Source organism: Homo sapiens, chromosome 2, assembly GCF_000001405.40.
Source record: "Homo sapiens chromosome 2, GRCh38.p14 Primary Assembly".
NCBI lineage: Eukaryota > Metazoa > Chordata > Mammalia > Primates > Hominidae > Homo > Homo sapiens.
Genome location: NC_000002.12, coordinates 152,379,713 through 152,399,458, shown reverse-complemented (window position 1 = coordinate 152,399,458; position 19,746 = coordinate 152,379,713). Strand labels below are relative to the sequence as shown.

At 40.2% G+C, this 19,746-nt stretch overlaps 1 protein-coding gene and 1 pseudogene across 13 annotated transcripts in view; both read right to left on the bottom strand.

Moving 5' to 3' along the window:
* FMNL2 (formin like 2) overlaps window positions 1-19,746 on the bottom strand; it is a 314,653-nt gene that overhangs the window by 250,368 nt on the left and 44,539 nt on the right. The gene's annotated exons all lie outside the window — the stretch shown is intronic.
* On the bottom strand, window positions 8,610-9,874 carry NUDCP1 (nuclear distribution C pseudogene 1; annotated as a pseudogene).

The following is a 19,746-nucleotide window of genomic DNA, read 5'->3' as shown; positions in this document are numbered from 1 at the left end:
ACTATGAAGAAAATACTTAATAAGCTGCTCCTCACCCACGTCCAGAGGGACCAGCATCTATTAAAAAGGCACAGCAGAGACCATCCGGGGCTCACAAACTTCTCTAGGCTTCCCCCTTTCAACCATCATTTCAAACATCCTCCCTCATCCTGTGCTGCCACCTTCTACTCCTCCACCCTCAGATCCACAACTTTTATTTGGATTAGTCACCTACCTTCTGATTTCACTTCTCTATCAATGTTCAGCCTCCACCACTGCCACGTGGCAACCCTGGGCAGAGGAAGCCTCACTCTCAAACCCGACCTCAGGTCTGGGATCCCAGCACCAGCTCAGGGTCCAGGGGCAGCTTCTGGGATTGTTTATCACACATCCAGTATTCTTCAGAAAGCCAGTGAAGCTGTCTGCTGCTCTGGGGCAGCACCCAAGTGTTCCTGTCTCCGTGGCCACCACATTCTTCTCTCTTTGGCTCCCATGTTTGTCTCTCCACAACACACTCAATTCCTTCTATGCCCAGCTCAAATGACATCCTCTCCCTGAAGCCTGTCCTAATTTTCCTACCCAAACCAAATACAATTGCCTTCTCTTCTCAATCATCTGGTCATGTTCACCCTTTTTAAAAATAAGTACCATGTTATGCCTTGTATTACATGTATCAGTTTCTCTCTTTATGCCTCAGCGAACTGTACCACTTACTAGCTGTGTGGTCTCAGATAAATCAATCCTCTATACTATTTCTTTATCAATAAACTGGAGATAATGGTGCATATCTCATAACTGTGTATAGAAGATAAAGCCAGATAAAATGTACACATGGCTTAAAACAGTGCCTGTGCATGCAAATGCTACCTATCATTCATGTTTTACCTCCCTCAGGACTTAGAAAAGCCTTACATATTAATTGCTCAAAAAATCAGTTGAATGTTAATCATCCAAAAATCATCAGTTTGAATGTTCAGTCATCCAAAATTCCAATTACTAGAGACCTAGCAGAAAAGAAACAAACATTTCTTGAGGACCTACCAAGTATACCAAGCAATATATAAAGCATCTTACATAGGAGAATTTATAATTCTCGCATCTCTTTGAACTAGATATTATTCTTATTTTACAGATGAGGACTTACAAATTAGGTACTTAGCCTTAAGTCGTGTAACTCATCATATAAAAAATCTGTGCTCTTTTCACACAGCCCACTACCTCCATAATATGGAATTTGCCTTATTCACAGGCTAGACAGCAACATAGCCTGGGGGATACAACAAGGAATAATACTTCAGCAAGTTCGCAGGCCAGAGGACAACATGCTGAGGCTTTTATTTTATTTATTTTTTTTCGAGATGGAGTCTCACTCTGTTGCCCAGGCTGGAGTGCAGCGGCTCAATCTCGGCTCACTGCAAAACCTCCACCTCCCAGGTTCAAGCAATTCTCCCGCCTCAGCCTCCCAAGGCTGGGATTACAGGCACCTGCCACCACACCCAGATAGTTTTTGTATTTTTTAGTAGAGATGAGGTTTTGCCATGTTGGCCAGGCTGGTCTTGAACTCCTGACCTCAGGTGATCCGCCTGCCTTGGTCTCCCAAGGTGCTGGGATTACAGGTGTGAGCCACTGCACCCAGCCAAAGCTTTTATTTTTTTTAAACCAGTGACAACGCTGGCTCACAGAGAAGAATGACATACAAATCAGAAGTTTACAGATTCAGTGGTATTGTGTCCACTTATCTTGAAAGACCTGACCCTGATGGATAGAAGGACCAAAAGAAGGAAAGGTCCATGCTTCTGGGTGTGCAAATAAAAGAAAAAAAAAGGAGGAAGAGAGGGAGAAAAGTAAAGTAGAAGGGAGGAGAGAAGGAGAAAGAGGGAAAACTCCAAGCCACCTGTCTTAGCCAGGAAACTCCCTGAGGTTCACAACCTGAAAGTGTCCTATCACTTTCCCCAGCATGTCTCATTTTGTTTATTTTCTTAAAACATACTGGAAAATTTAACTTCTCTCTTTTGACGTTTTTTATTCTGAAAAGTGCATGAAAAATTCCAGCAGGTAATTCTGACATCCAAAAACCTCATTTTTTTTTTTCCCCCTAACTGGCTCAGACAGATAAAAGGAAAGGAACTGAACTATCCGAATAATTTCCCTAAGTCTTCCCCACCTACATTATGCTCATCCAGTTTCCTTGCAAATTACCCAGGTGAACCATCTGTGCTTGGGACTTTTTTAAATTCTTCACATTGAAGTTCTTTCATTTATTAATGGGAAAAAAAAAGATTTCTTCTCAATTTTCCTCCCTGCATATCCCAAGCAAAGCAGGATTTGGTGAACCCTAACATCCTTAGGTAAAGCAACATTAAATCCAAAATACACGTAACCTTAATAGATCTTTTTCCATCAACGAATTTTACAATAATGCTAATTGCAATTTTAAAGGATGACAACATCTTCTGGATGAGCCACAGAAATAACATATTTAGTCTACAAATTCATGGAATAGTGAACAACATGCCAAGTGCATTCCACTTCCATAGTCTTATGATTCTTTAAGCAAGACAGGCATTTAGAGAGCTTTAAAAATAATGATGAGGGGTGAAGGAGCAGAGCAGGGGCATAAGTTTTTTTCTTAATGATGGAATTTAGGTAATGCTCTTTGAATAACTGTTACTCTAAATGGCAAGTGGAAAGTCACATGAGCATGAATTTAAGACAAAAGAACATCTATACAAAAAGTAATTTCCCACTTAATTTAAATTTCCCTTGAGGAGGGGAGAGGGGAGAGAGGGGAGAGTTAAAGCCTGACTTAAATAAAAACATACTTGTTAACTGGATAAGAAAAAGAAATAAGACAATGTCTGAAATGTGAAAGATGTCCAGAGGCATGGAAGTTTGCCCTGATATGCAGGACTCATCTAAGCCAGGACCTCACAGGCTCTCTGGATACATGTTATCTTCGGAAATGAGCAGGAGAAGTAGAAATGAACTACCAGAGCTATAGAGGGTTAAGCAGCAGCCTTGGATTTCATTCTAGGTTTGGCAAACACTGAAATAAATAACTGGTCAATGACAAGACTGCCCACTGTATTAGATCAAGAAATTACGAATCAGTTCTCTAAATTTAGTAGCTAGACTCATTCCTGTTTGACTTTTCAAGTCAGTTCAGCCCAAATAGCAAGTATAGTATATGACTTCTAAGGCAGAAAACGGAAAACTAATTCCCTCCCATGAAAATCAGAATTCTATCCAGCCAAGTTCTTCTAGCTCCCCCAGTGTGGAAACACTTAGCAATGACTGTTCAAATGCTTAGCTGAGTTCTAAGACACTAAAATAAAGGAGAGGGGGAGGGATGTGGGTACAGGAGTTCATTTTTGCAGAAATGCCGTGATTAAACAACAAGACTTACATTTACAGAACCACGTTAAAGACTTCAGAATCCCATTCACTCTCTATAGTGACAAATACACTTAAGCAAGGACTTTCTGACTCTGTCGAAAGACAGCAGCTCTTAAGAATTATTTTAAAAATGAAACAAAAGATTCCACATGACTGTTTTGCCTGCCGCCGCCCCGCCCCCTGGCCCACCCACCCCCACCACTCTACGACTCCCACCTTCATTTATCCTATTCATCTCACAGTTGGGTATTTGGTTGAAGCATATTTGAAAGAGGAGGATAAAGCCTGGGCCAATTATCCAAAGAACAAACTGTCTTCCGTTAAAGGCTTATAAAAATAAATTTGGCTTACAAAAAGAAATTCAAGGAGATTTCCAAACCGTCCTCTCAATTTCATGTGAGCCTGCTGATTTTTTAGTCATTCTTGTTTTTCTCCAAATTCATATTGGGTGGGGAAGTTGAACAAAAATTCTAAGTGTACCATTGTAGTCTAGTTAAATAAAAACATAGGTTTCAAATTTCAAATCACATCACATCTAATTTAACTTTTAATTTTAAGGGACTGGTCCAGATAGTAGCTGAGAACCATTGTGGAGACACAAAATGGGAACAAGTTTCCTAAGAAAGCTAACAGGCCATCTGGGGCATAATCTAACAATGAATCTCATCTAAACCCAATGTCCCTTGGAATGAAGTTTTTCCTCTTAGGATTAAGACATTTAGTTCTATCTCTTGCCTAGAACTTGATGGCAAGCTGTACTTTCTGTAATCTGTATCCTAAGCACTACTCATCTCTTTAACTCTTGTGTAGGGTTTGCCACCTCATGTCCCACAGCACCATGGCAACCCAGCTGAATATACAGACATTTCCAGTTCTGAAAGAACACTCTGGAAATACGGGCTGACCGGAGCAGGACTTCTGCAGTGGGACTGTCTACTGTGAACCAAAGAATTACAAAGAAATGTTAACAGATTTTTTTTAAATTACAGCTTTGTGGAAAAATAAGTTAAGGCAAATCCATCCTTGACACTCTAACAGCATTCCTGGTTCAGCAGGAATAACTCTTAGTGCTGTCAGAAAATAAAAGCATGCTATCTATTCTTTATAGTCAACTGAATTGGAAGCAGACAAATTTTTCAGTCTCAGGAGCAAGAAAGCCATGCCTGCAAATTTGGTTTTGTAATTTTCAGCAGATCAGGGTTTTGCTTATCCTCAAATTACATTTTAGGTCACTCCAACAACCTAAAAGACTAGAAATAAAAGATCGTTCTTGTCCAATCTTATATGGTAACCTGTGATAAATAAGTCATTTTACTTATCACAAATTTGAGTGTATCTTCCAAAGGCCAAAAAAAAAAAAAACCCAACAGTTAATGTTATGTAATATAAACTATTAATTGCACTTTTCTTTCCTAGTGTGGGAGATCAAGTTGTCATTCTTCATTAAAAAAAAAAAAAGTCAAAATTTTTTTTTCAGAGAACAACTCTTTCCACATGTATCTATTAATATTATGCCTGTAAGAGTTCTGAATTTCCTGTGAATGCCAGCTCATATGGAAACAGATGAGCCAAGAAGAACTAAGAGGAACTCATGTCACAGTTTGGTACCATACTTCTTGAACATAAATGAAAAGTGGGAAAATTATCATGCTGTAAATCTAGAATCAAAGGTACCCAAAGCACAGTTAGTGAACCCAGTACTAACCAGGAGGATTCAAAAGCAACCCACAATTGGTTTGCTGCTTGCAAAAAAATTAAATTTAGACCTCCAAATCACACTATACACAACTAGATTCCACATGAATAAAAGCGAATTCTTTAAAAAACATTGTCTCCGAAGCTAAAATTAAGTCGTGTATTTTTGGATATGATCGTTAGTAAGAACATTCTAACTTTCAGAATCATGACAAAAATGGTCAGAAATTTAAAATTTGATGTTGTAAGAAATTCAAACTTCTGTAGGCCTAAAAAATTTATCTAAAAAAGGAAGTGAGGAAAATAGTCAAAATAAATTAAATGAGTTATCATCTATTACAAGGGTCAGCAAACTATGGCCCGCTAATCAAATCCAGCCCACCGCCTGTTCTTCTACAGCCCGTGAGCTAAGAATGGTTTTTACATTTTTAAATGGCTAAAAAAATAAAGAGGAATGATACTCCAGGGCATATAAAAAACTATATAATACTCACATCTCAGCGTCCATATGGGAGCACAGCCATCCTCATTAGTTGCCTATTGTCTAAGGCTGCTTTCACCCTACAGAAGCTGTATGGCCCACAAAGCCTGAAGTGTCTATTATCTGGTCCTTTATAGAAAAAGTTAGCTAACCTCTGACCTACTACACAAAGAGCTCATGCATATGAAAAACAGTAAGACCCAATAAATAAATAGGCAAAAGAGATTTTTTTAAAGTAAAAGAAAAATACAACCTGTTAATAAAATAGAAAATGTTCACTTTCACTTCCAAATGGAAAGACTCTCTTTGGCCTATCAGATTAGGAAAGATTTGTGGAAAAGTCAACACACATTGCTGTCAGGGGGACAGTCAAACAAGAGCTAAGAAGCTGCAGGTGGCACTCTAAATATGTTTTACCCTTTTAGAATGCAATGCGGCAAAAAGAAACAAGTCTTAGAAAATGTCCATAACTCTCTTCTCATCTATCCTATGGACATAATCTCAAATATAGGCAAGTTTATAAATAAAGACATTTATTATGGTATCTTTAACACAATGAAAAACCAGTAGCAATTTCATAGGTTTCCCTCTGTTTTAAGAGTCATGGGTGTTGTTTCTAAGTATTAATGTATCTGAAATTAAGACATATCTTATAATCATGTACATTTAATGTGCTATGTGTTTCCTCATATTAAAGTGTTGATACCACAGTGTCTTACCTGTACTTTTAATTAACAGTGTCTTACATGTACTACATAGAGGCAACTCACATAGTTTCAATGAAGACATCTGACTGAAGGACTATTTACAAAGATGAGGGAAGGGTGAAGGGTACCACAAGGGGCATTCAGGTAGAAAGTGACTCGAAGCATCAAGGAGAGGAAAGTAACCTGCTGGAGGCCTGAAAGAGGACCCACCAGGCAAGAGTGGTTTCTTGGTGGGACACAGTCACTGACAAAACTGCAGCAGAGAAGCAGGCAGAGAGAAGAGATATGGCGACTGGCAGCTCTCTCCCCTCCCACTCTTAGCTCTCCTTAAGTTCCCCCTTGGCCAATCCAGTTAGAAGCCAGAGGGCAAGGAAGCCTGGAGGATCCATCTGTCAGTCAGCACCACTGCCCACTCCCAAAAGGAGGGCAGACAATAGGTGACAGGGGGTGTTATGGTTTGAATGTGTCCCTTCCAAAATTTAGGTGTTGCCAAAGTGATGGTATTTACAAGTGGAGCCTTTAAAGGTGATTAAGCCATGATGGCTTCTCCCTCTCGATGGGATTAAGGCTCTTATAAAAGAGGCTTCACTCCGCATTTGGATGACTTGCACTTATGCCTTCTGCCAGATGAGGATGCAGCAAGAGGGTCCTCACCAAATGCTCCCTAAACCAAATGCTGGCACCTTGATCGTGGACTTCCCAGTCACCTCCAGAACGGTGAGAAATAAAATTCTATTCCTTATAAATTACCCAGTCTCAAGTATTCTGTCATTACAGCACAGAACAGACTGAAACAGGAGGAAAAAAGGAATAACCATCTCAGTCATTCTCCAAATCACCCCACAGAAAAGATGAAAAATGCATTCCCACTGTGATGAGTGGGGGGGAGAGAAAAGTCAATCCCAAAGTCTTAATTTCACTGAAATCATCCACTAAATCAGGATCCAAGTGGCTTTGGTCACCTCAAACAGAACTCTGACAAAGGAAGATGAGAAAACAGGGGTTTGAAAAGCCAAACATTTTAAATTTATAAAAGAAACTACCTTCCACAATGTTTAGGTACAACTAAGATATTAGGCAAATAGCTACCATGTTGGGTAGGTAGAGAACCTCATTTAAACAATATGAAAATAGCATAAAAATTTGAAATTAAAGAATGAATTATTGTAAATAGCAAGGAGGGTGGCAATCTTGCAAATGAATCAAGGAGTTGGCATGTGAATAAGGATGTGAATAGATCCTAAGGTAGATGTTTTCGAGACAATATGGGTTTGAAAAAAAAAAAAAAAAAACAACTTCTAGCTCCCAGTCTTCTGTATCTTTTAATTCACTGTTTCTGGTCAGGGTTTGGTAAGGGCTCTAGCCAGCGTTATTTCATTAAGAACATATAGAGTTTAGGAGTCTAGAAAAAGGCCAATTTTAAGGGCTCAAAGAGCAACATTATTATTAATGAATAATGTGACCTTCAGGAAATCTGATACCATAGTTCCAATAATGTTCTTGCTTCAAGTCACTATATTCAAAACCCCTATCGGGAAATATGGGAAAGTCGGTGTCTCATTCAGAACAAAAACTAACTCTGTCTAACTACAGTAAGGCAAACTCTTGGTACCAACCAACAGAGTCAACTTGCCACCCCTGGCACACAGCTCTATTCCTATCACATGACTTCCTGCATGCTGCCCTTCCTTTCTCCATCCCAATTACACCTCCCAGCCAGATACACAAGACACATTTGCTGGTGAACTCCACTCCTCCCAGCTCTCTATGCATTTCCACTCAACTACCTCTACTGCCTTCAGTTATGCTTTACTTACTCAGTTCCTTCACCATTGTCTTCTGAAAAATTGTCTTTTATCTGTGTTTGTTGTGAAACCTTAATCTGTCAGAATCTCCCAGAAGGTCATTACCAGTTGCCAGGGTGTTTATTTGGCATTCTCTAAGTCATCCTTTGAGGATTCAAAGTGAAGTCACCCAAAAGGCATATGTGACTGCATCAAATTTAAGGCACTAACTTCCACCTCTAGAATCAATTCACCAAGACGCAGTGCTATGATTCAAGTTGGAAGTTCGGGAAGCTCTGCTTTAGCTAAAAGCTGCAACAACAGATGGTAATTGAAGAAATAAAATACAACAAAGGTGTGGTTACTATTGCTATAGTATTTATTCATGCCTCAGCACAGCCAAGAAAGGCCAGTACCTTTCAAACTAGGGTGTGAAGGTTGCCAATATCCTATCTGCCTCTGTCTCTTATAAGTCATTTATTTTCATACCTTAACAGAACAATTACCTTAATCTTTACAATTTGGCATCACAAATGAGGAAATAAATCAGTACTTATTTCTGTTTTTGCTGGGCAAATTGCTTTAATGCCTAACAGTAGGCCAACTGGGGAAGACAAGACCCCAAGCCCCAGCCTTTCTCCTGATGCCCTGGGATCCGTGTGTCTAGGCCAGTCCCATGCCTACCCCAAGCCCTGAGGCTCACAAGGGCCAGAGAAGAGTGGGAAAGAAGGTTGGATGGTTGTAGCTCAGCCCCAAGAGTTCAGGGAGGAAAAAGCACGGGCTAGTTGAATTTGGCCTTGGAAAAATCCATCTCCAGATGCTGATCCATGAACTTCTTCAGAATCTCCTGTTTCTTCTGTTCGTCTGAGATTGGCAGCCCCATGGACTTCTGTCTCTGGTCATACATCATCTTTTCCACCATGCTGCGAGTCTCATTGTCCAGGTCTGACAGCTTGGAATTCTCAGGGTTAATCATCTTGGTATTGATCTTAGGGTCACTGGACACCAAGCAGCTCCACCACTCCATCTTATTGATCTTCTCAAGATGCACAGTCACCACCTTGCCATCCTCAATGAGCCACGAGCTCTCCCCTACCTTCACTTCGTTGTAGAGCTCCCCATCGATGATTGCTGGCTGCCCCTTGAGCCCCACCCGGAGGTGCTGCCCCTGGATGTCCACCACCATGTCCTTCCCTTTCAGCCGGAAGTTTACACGGAAAGGGACCACCAGGTCCAGCTCCGACAGGCTCTGGGTCCAGCAGTAATTGGGCAGGTCTGCCCCGTTGCCTAGGTTGGGCTTCAGTTTTCCTTTGTCCTCCTCATCTTCCTCCTTCTTCTCCTGCTTTCCTGGGGAGTCAAGGCTGCCGTTCTTGAGCTGGGCCTCATGATTCTCTGCATCCTTTTTCTGGTCAATCTCTAGCTGCAGCCTCTCTGCCTGTCTGCCTTTATCTGGGGCCCCGAGGTCTCTGACTTGGCTTCCTTGGCCAGCCCGGCCACCCGCTCCACCTTCTCCCGGGTTCTCTTCTCCCACCGGGCCTTCTGTGCCAGCTGATTGTCGTGGCTGAAAGTCTGTATGATAAGCTTCTTTGCCATCCCCTCTTCTCCTGCAGTGAAAAAGTCTGTTTTGCGTCGAAGGAAGCTGAAGAAAGTGTTCACAAGCTCCTGCACGCCGCCCTCGTGCTGCTGAGCCATGGCCAGCAACATGCCATCGAACCGCTCCTCCTCCTGCTCTCCGCCCATCGCGCCGGCTCGGATCCACGTCCTGAGGTCTGCGCTCTAGTCCTGTGCTCTCTCCACTACTTCGGGTCACGCCGGGCCCAACAACTCTAGTCTAAATCAGTCCTTATTTCTAAAAGGTACATAAGAATTCGGAGTTAAAGATCTAATTATCTGAAGACAAAGTATCTCCCACTGCCATAAACTGAATGTGTCTCCTCAAAATTCATAGGTTGAAACCTAACCCCTAAATGTAATGGTTTTAGGAGATGGGGCTCTTGGGAGGTGATTAGATCATGAAGGCGGAGTCCTCGTAAATGCGATTAGTGCCCCTAAAAAAGAGGTCCCAGAGAGCTTACTTATCCTTTCTGCTATATGAAGATACAGCAGAAGGATGGCTGTCTCCAAACCAGGAGGCAGGTCCTCCCCTCAAATTTGCTGATGCCTTGATCTTGGACTTCTCAGTCTCCAGAACCATGAGAAATAAGTTTCTGTTCTTTAGAAGCTACCTAATTTATAGTACTCTGTTACTGTACAGCAGCCCAAATGGACTAAGACACCCTAACACTGTGTTAGGCTTTATAGAAAAAAAAAATGCTCCTTTCATTTGCAGCACCCTCCCTGTTAAGTCCAAATTGAAAAACAGCATTTAGATTTCAACCAAAAAGAAGCCTTGACATTAATACTTTTACTCATGACTCCATTTATCTGGTATTTATTGCCTCATCCTGCTAGCCACCTTAAATTTTATATTTTTAACAATCATTGTTTTTAGTGAGGACTGAGGTGACTGCTTTCATTTAAACAGTCATGAGTTCTATAAACAAAAAGTAGACAGTCATAGACATCCACAGATGTGACCTCAGTAATTTTTAATCACTGGTTCTAATGTCACTTTAGTTGATGAATTTCTCTTAAAAAGAGACACTAACTTCTTTTTGAAAACTTGTGCACAAACTATCAATCAGAAGGTCCTGCAATAGTATTAGAAAATCACCAATTAAAAGAAGAATCTGTGGTGACATTAGGCACTTGAATAATTAAGCTGTGATTAGAGATAGGCTTCTAATTTAGGCAGAATATGGTTGATATGGTTTGGCTGTGTCCCCACCCAAATGTCATCTTGAATTGTAGTTCCCATAATCCCCACATGTCATGGGAGGGACTCGGTGGAAGGTAATTGAATCACGGGGGTAGTTAGGCTCATGCTGTTCTCAAGATAGTGAGTTCTCATGAGATCTGATGGTTTCGTAAGGGCTTTTCTCCCATTCCGTTCATACTTCTCCTTGCTGCCGACACGTGAAGAAGGACGCGTTTGCTTCCCCTTCCACCATGATTGTAAATTTCCTGAGGCCTCCCCAGCCATGCTGAACTGTGAGTCAATTAAACCTCTTCCTTTATAAATACCCAGTCTAACGTATGTCTTTATTAGCAATGTGAGAACAGACCAATACAATGGTAAAGATAACACTTCTTTGATTGCTTTTCTTGAGTCATTTAAACTGATCCTTAGTACACAAGTATTTTCCTCCTCTGTGAGAGCTAACCTCAATTATGTCTCTTCAGATCTAAACTACATTACCCGGAAGTACAAAATAAACAGAGCAAGAATTTCTAAGAATCTTTGTCATCTAAGAACAGGTGATAAAGAAGAATCTTCCTAATTCTTATTATATTAGCCTAATTATCAGCAGGACAATGAAGCCTTTCAACAAAGGACAGAAAAAACTGTGGAAAGAAAACGTGCAGCCAAGCGCAGTGGCCCACACCTGTAATCCCAGTGCTTCGGTAGGTTGAGTCAAGAGGATTGTGTGAGCCCAGGAGATCAAGACCAGCCTGGGCAACATAGTGAGACACCACCTCTACAAAAAAAAAAAAAATTTTTTTTTTAATTAGCCAGGTGTGATGACACCTAGCTACTCAGGAGGCTGAGGCAGGAGGATGGCTTGAGTCCAAAAGTTTGAGGCTGCAGTCAGCTATCATTGCACTACTGCACTCTAGCCCGTATGACAGAGAGACCCCAACTCCAATTCCCACCAAAAAAAAAGAAAAAACACACACATTTAAAAAACAACCAGACATGGAGTTCAAACTCAAATGTGGAAATGAACTGAACCTCAGCTACTGAATGCAGTATAAGCAGGGCTTGATAAGTCACAACTTTCCCCTTGATAAGTCATAATTATTTTATAACTTTTATATTTCATACATTTATAGAAAAAAATTAAATTTGTTTTGTGACTGATAGTTCTTAATTACAACATATTAGTTTTAATCTAATCACACTCCGTACTCAACAAGTCAGCAGGCAATTAAATCTAACAAACATTTATCAAAGGCCTACTACAAAGCAAGGCCCTGGGCTGGTGTCTGCCATTAAGAAAAGCATCTGTCTACTGTGGAAACAGGCTAGCCACTCATCCAATAGGGATAACACAAAATTATCATTATCAGCCACAATGTGGTCTGTTAAACTAAAACTTTACTGGGAGCTTGGCAACAGCACACTATAGATAACAGTTGGGCTTTGGTTTTTAACCCAGATCTTCTACAGTATTTATATACTGTGGTTGCCTACAAAGCAATGAAGAGCTCATTTCTACTTCCCAGGAATGGTTTAATCCCAAGACAGGCCACACTTTTTCATGAAATATCTATGAACCAGTCCTCCCTCATGACCTTTTTCTTTTAAATCATCATTCCTCAAGCGTCTTGGAGGAATGGTGAAGGGCAAGGGGAATCTGGGAAGAAAAAACAGCAAACTTTGCCCAGGGGAGTCTCCTAGACTCCTAAAGCAACAAAGGTTTTCTCTACCTTTGTTGAGATAAATTAAAACCATTTTGAAAGCAGAATCTACTTCTTCCGGCATTGCTACTTAACATATTTAATTAGACTATGGTGAATAACACATAAATGGGGAGGCGGGATGCCAAAAGACAGTGATGACTTGTTTCTGAGTTTATCCAGGTCAATGAAAAACACCTCTGTGTAAGAAATCTCCAGGCCTCAAGGTAATAACATCAAATCAGACAGACAATGAATTGCTGAAAATGTAGGGTCATGAAAGTCCTAGAGGGAAAACAGATAGACACATATAAGGTGAAAAGCATGAAAATCAAAGTAAAATAACAAGCAAAGAAAGCTGCTAATGAAAAAGTTGTCAGCTAAAGCCTAGAGTTTGAATGAGTTAATGAATGGTCAAAGGACTTACCACAGGCACTGACTCCTCCAAGTGAAGAGGTATTTAAAATCACATAACTTATTAACTGCTATGGTAAAACATTCTCAGGGAGAAGATGACAAGACAAGTGGCAACAGCAGAAATTCCCTTTAAAAAATCAGGGTCTCTATAAGAGCTTTACATTGAATGAGGTCTGGACCACACTCCCACTTACAGATCAAGAATCCAAGTGTGCACCCGGGATTACAGTGAAAGGATAAGACTCTGTACTTTGTAATTCTCCCTTTCACTGAGAGCACTGGGGATTGCATTCTACAATAGCCCCCTTGAAGGTGCTGGGAATAAATCTCAGCAGGGTATGCTAGGAGAAAGAGAAGCTCATTTCATTTCCTCATTTGCCCAAAACTAACCTATCTTCTATTGTCACCAACTATGGAACCTTTCCTGATACTCTTATGTTTAAAGCTCCCAAGAAAGGCAGGGAACCTGATGCAGAAGCACAGATGTTGTCTGCAGGACTGAGTATATCCCTCTTAGACTTAGGAAGCAGACAGCATATCCAGGAGAGGTGAAAGAAAGATAAATCAAGGCATTGCTGACAGCCTTTCATTACAATTTGGCAGCCAACCTGCTCAAGCATTTTCACATGGGTAAGTTGATCATCTGAAAAAAAATCCATGGCATAAGAACACAATTTAAGCCTTCAGAGCAAACATTTTGATAGTTCTCATAAGTCATTTAAATAAAAACTTCATGAACAAACCACAAAGCATGTGACTAAAACCCCAATTAATAGTAGAAAGCAGTACACACTGACAGATTTCTATGGCAAACTTCTGCAGAGACCAAATCAGTTGAATGCAACTTTGCCCCTCAAGCAGATATACTTTTGCCTTATCTTACCTTTTCTCAGCCAAGATTTCCCCAGCTCCCTAATTCAAACTCACCAGGACAGTGAGCATTATATGACCATCTGGTCGACAACATATTACACATTCATAGGGCATGGTTCTAATCACGGCACAGTTTAAACCACCACCATAGATCTCAGCAAGGTCCTCCTAAATGGAAGAATTTTATATTTTGCCTTTTAAATGGTTTTTATTGGAAGCATATTTGTGAGAACACTAAGACGTAAAAGGCCTCTGAGCCTGAGCTCATTTTCCCATCCCCAGCCTCCCTCCCTACAAACTGCCTTCTATGAATGGGATTCTATTTCATCTTTACTCTCTGCAAGAGAATGTACCTGCCAACTGATGTCAAGAACAAATCACTTCATCCCCAGTTTCGATGCTGCTGCATTCTTGGGCACTTGTGTTCTTTTAGCACCAAAAAGAGTTGCTTCATGGTTCAAGGGTCACTGTTAACTCTTTTAACAAATAGGCATTAACAGAATACAGGAGCAATCCCACACTTTGTGGGGAGGGTGTCTCCCTGGAGCCTCTAGATTAAAATTCTCATTACTAAAGTCACCAAGGAGTTAGACAAAGATAGGGAGCATGGCCTCGGAGTTTCTTGCTAAAAAAGAATTCTTCCTCTAATACATTTATGGATATTAGCTACACTAACATGGGTTAGTTTACTAGGTTAGTTGATTACTGTGTTAGGATGAGGAGACAAAGTGTCATTGAAGAAACAAGAAACCAAATCTAGAGTGTAGCTATTTTTTCTTACTTTAATGAAGCAGCAGAGAGTTTGAAAAAGATTTTAGAAACGTGTGCAGGCTCTGGACCAGGGAAGGCCAATCTTAGCTGAAAATATAATGGCCCCCACCAGAAGCCCTTGCATTCCAAAATTCAGATACAAGCTTCCTAAATCCCAAGATGCCCCAGGATGAAGGCGCACTCAAGGGACCCAGGCAGGCTGCCTCCACTGAACCGAGGAGAAGAGTCCACCTTTCAAGCACGATGTTTGAAGGATGCTCTTTCACTCAGGAAGCCTGAGGGAAGGCTTTGCTTCTGTCCTGGGAAACCAATCACTGATCAAGAGTACTCTCCTGCCCTCTCACTAATGTCAGCCATCAAATGGACCATATCTCCCCACCAGCTGAGTTCTACCCACAGTCATTCCATGGCCTAGCCCCTATCCTGGCCAGCAATATCGATGTCTACACCCCAATGCCCAGGCCCTACCTCAACATCCCAAACTTCTGCTAGACCACAGGGGCTGGTAATCCAGACTCTGGAGTGAGGACAAGTCATGAGAAAAATAAATTTAGGAAAATGTGTAAGTACAACTTAAGTAACAAACAGAAAATGGACTTTGGAGTCAGCCAATCCTTGTTTCCAACCTGAGTACTGCCACTATCACAAAACTTTGAGCAAATTATTTTACTCCTCAGAATCAGTTTCCTCACCTGGAAAATAAAGATAAAATGCCTACTTTGCAGAGCTGCTACGAAAACTTAAAAAGATAAATATACACAAAGTAAGCATTCACAAAAATAGAAATCAATACCCTATTTCTTTATTATATGAAAGGGTAATTCCAAATGCATATAAGCCAAGAGTGAGATTTTTACTAGACATAGTTCCTACAGTACAACTCTAGAAATGTAAGGGATGAGATCTGTATAACATATGGTAGCTCCCCAGATGTAGAAAAATATGCACATACAGTTTTACAAATTCCTAGTTTATGATGTCAAAATTCTCTAAATAAAACAGATGCTAATCATCAAACTGATGATGACTTCTCCTCATTTCTTTGCCATAAATAAAACCCTTGAAGACTAAATAAATGCCTTAACTTATTTCCTCTAAGTTTGGGGATGGCTAGGGTTTCCTCAATGGCTTTCTTTGGTTTCCAGGGTTAGCTGCTGTGGTAATTTTCAAAGAGCACCAAGTTTGCTATAACCATTCTGGATATATAATAACAGTAAGATATTATTATAATTATGCCATTATTAATAGCAGCTACCTTTTATGAAATATTTTTTGGTTTTTTGATTTGAAACAGGGTCTTATTATGTTGCCCAGGCTGGTCTCGAACTCCTGTGTTCAAACTATCATCCCATCTCAGCCTCCCTAGTAGCTAGGACTACAGACATGCACCACCACGCCAGGTTACTCTTACGGAACATTTTAAGCTTACAACATGCTACATGAAGACAATTAGCATTACAATAAACAATTAAACTCCAAAAAAGAAAACTAAATTTATCTTATAAAAGGAAATCACAAAACCCAAAGTTAGAGCCTAATACACTATTGCCCCCTAAACTACAAAAAAAAAAAAAAAAAAAAAGGATTAACGGAAGTGTCCACACCTAAAAAGTTTCCACTAGATTCCCAGAGCCCTCTTGCTTTATCCTCCTTCCAGTGTTTCCAAGGGAGGTAAATTTAATATCCGCATCTCTCCCAGAAATTAAAACTACCTCTCTCTCTGCCCTATTTGTTGGTCTCTCCCTCACCACACTCCTATTTTTTTAAGCCAGTAACTTAGTCGTTTATGATCATTATCAAGTATTATATACTGAACATAATTGTATGTGTTCTCCATTTGCAGCACAGTAGGTTTGTTTACACCAACATCACTACAAACACGTGGGTAATGCATTGCCCTATGTTAAGGCAGCTACAATGTCACTGGATGATAGGAATTCTCAGCTCTATTATAATCTTGTGAGACCAGTTTGTTGTCCGTTTTTGATGGAAATGTTATGTGGCTCATGACTGTATTATTTATTGAATATTATGGACACACTTCTATTTTTTCCCCAGCTTTATTGAGGTATGACTGACAAGAATTATATATATAATAAAGGTGTATGTGATTTTTTTATATAAGTTTATATTGTGAAATGATTACCACAATCAAGCTAATTAGCATTATCTATCACCTCACATCGTTTCCTTTCTTGGTGTGGGTGTGTATGGTGAGACCACTTGAGATCTACTCTCATTGCAAATTTCAAGTCCATAATACATTAAGAGCCCTAAGAATGCAGTTAAAAGTTGAAGCCAAAAGTGACTCTTTAGCCTCTATTAGCATCAGGATCTTTGTGGAGGCAAGTGGACCCTCTCTCAGCCCTTCTTGAGATCTGCTTTTCTCACCAGGAAGCACTGAAAATTAGAAAAGACCTCCCACACTTGATTATCAAAAACCTCCCAGAATCTTCTACTGAAGAAGCCAGGCTCTCTCACATCAGAACACCCAGAGGAAACAAAGACACATGCGCTTTCCTTAATGACGCCTCTCCTTTGACCCAATGAAGAGAAATCTACCACAGAAGCAAATGTAATTGGCTGGCACAAAAACTTCCGCACAAAAATGGAGCACAATCTACGAGTGAGTTGGTTCTTTGGGTACCATTAATGTGTGTTTCTATTAAGTATGTAACTTTCAAAAGTATATTTACCTCCTATTAAGTGCTTCAAAAAGTGAAACAACATGGTTAAAACCGGTATGTAAAGATTCTAGGCCAGGCATGGTGGCTCACTCCTGTAATCCCAGCACTTTGGGAGGCTGAGGCGGGCAAATCACTTGAACCCAGAAGTTCAAGACCTGCCTGGGCAACATGGTGAAACCCCATCTCTACAAAAAATACAAAAATTAGCTGGGTGTGATGATGCCTGCTTGTAGTTCCAGCCTCCTCAGGAGGCTGAGGTGGGCAGATCTATTGAGCCTGGCTGCAGTGAGCCGTGATTGTGCTACTGTACTCCAGCCTGGGCTGGAGGAGATCCTATCTCAAAAAGAAAAAAAAAAAAGTTCTGCTTTGCTGTTTGTTATGCTAACTAATCAAGAGTTATCGAGTTTCTTAAAGCAGTACATTTAAAGCATTACTGCATTTTAATTTCTTTTTAAAAACTGCCACAGCAACTGCGTTTAGTACAGCAGGCAGGAAGTTCACAGGAACAATTCTCTATTTCCCTGTGAGATGCATTTTTAAAAGTAAAACAAACCATCATTTCAGAATTCAGAATAAAGACTGTGACTCTCATGACCCCACACAGAGCGGAAACCCTAACGACAGGAATATTAAACCATTTTCCATTCTGCTCTTTTTGATGAAGAGAAGAACTTCAAATATGATCTCTGCTGTGAACAAAGATATTCAGACAAGAAGCTCCTCTCATTGTCTCCCCAACAGTTAGCATCCCTGGAGATCTGGCTTTCCCTTCTGGAAGAGGGCACAGGCAAGTATATTTATGAGCTCGTATGTCACAAACTCGTCTGTTCAGGGAAACCCTGGACACCAAGCTGAAACGTATGAAATATGCCATGGCAGAAATTTTCAAAAGTCTTTTGCTCTCATAATTTCGACCTCTCAGGCTATCCATCTTCTGTCAACTAAAACCTTAGGTAATACCAGTCTCACATGCTTAAATAAATCCCAAAGCAATACAAAAAATTAGTCAGGTGTTACCAAACTCTGATAACAAATATGTTGTGATCAATATCCTTTCATGAAATTTGGTCAGATTAACAACTCTTGGTTTCAAAACAAGGCTTCTTTTACATCATTTGAAATAAAGAGAAGAAAAGGAAACTCTACTTATTAGGCACCTAGCAAAAGCCATTCCTAGGCATTATATACATTTTCCTACTTAGTTATACTAAGTTCCCATTTTGCTTATGAGAAAATGAAGGCTCAGTTTAAGTCACCTGCCATAAACTGAACAGCCATAAACTGATACAGCCAGTCTCATCTCACTGTCGCCACCCTGCATGCTCTTAAACTAGAACGGTCTTACAGACACTAGCTATAATGCAGCTCTAGCCCAACAGGCACTGTATAAAACAAACTCCACAGACACCTGCAAACCAACTATACTGGGTGTATAGAGCAGGAAAATAAGAGTTTTCTCAACTGATTCAAATGTTAGATTACATATGCTAGCTATGAGCTCAGCCTAGAAGGGTAGGTACAGCGAGTAATCCATTAGGAGACAGCCAAAGCCAAGGAAAAAGGGCATTCTAGCTAAAGGGGAAAACCTGAGCCAAGGTGCAGAGGTGGGAGAACCCAGAGTGTATGGAGAACAATGAGCAACTCCTTCACTTCGCTCTGGCTTCTCAGTGCCAAAATTGTGAAACATTTTAAGGACACAAGCATGGCAAGAACTTGTAAGAACTGACTACACACAGTTAGGAATGTGTGGATACAACACTGCTGTCTTAATAAAGATCAGAAAGAGATAAATCATTTGAAGGTATTTTCACTTTTTACAAAATATTTCAGTTGCTACGTCACCACAAGCAAAAAGCTTTCCAAGGCTCACCAAGGTTAACAATAGGCTGCCTTTGGTTCAAACACATTTGTAAAAAATGTTTCATTCAATCAGTACAGTATTTATTGAATGCTTTCTATGTGCCAGGTACCATGCTAGATGCAAGAGATACAAAGATGAACTAACCTTATTCTTGGCTGCTCAAAGCCCAGGATGAGATGGCCACAAAAATTAAAATGTGATGAATGCTATAAAAATAGCAGTAGAGAATGACTAGTATCAATTAACCAGATAGATCCATGTTGAAAGAGTAGCCCCAGAAACTATTCACTATTCCGTCCACATCTAGGCCTATCTTTGATATAACTGAATCTATTTCTAGTTTATATGTTTGAAGGCACCTTAATAAATTCTCACCCACCTCTCCATTTCTACAGCTTTCTATAGCTTTCACTACTATTTTCTATGACTACAGAAAGCAGACTACAGAAATCAGTCTCATAGAAACTGGTAGCGGAAGTTAACTTAAAATTTTGAAGTCGGAACACATTATAATCTCCCAAGCATTTAAGACTTCAGTTTCTAATAAGTTTTCTTAGCATTGTGTTTGCCATACATAATAAAGCTATTGACAGGG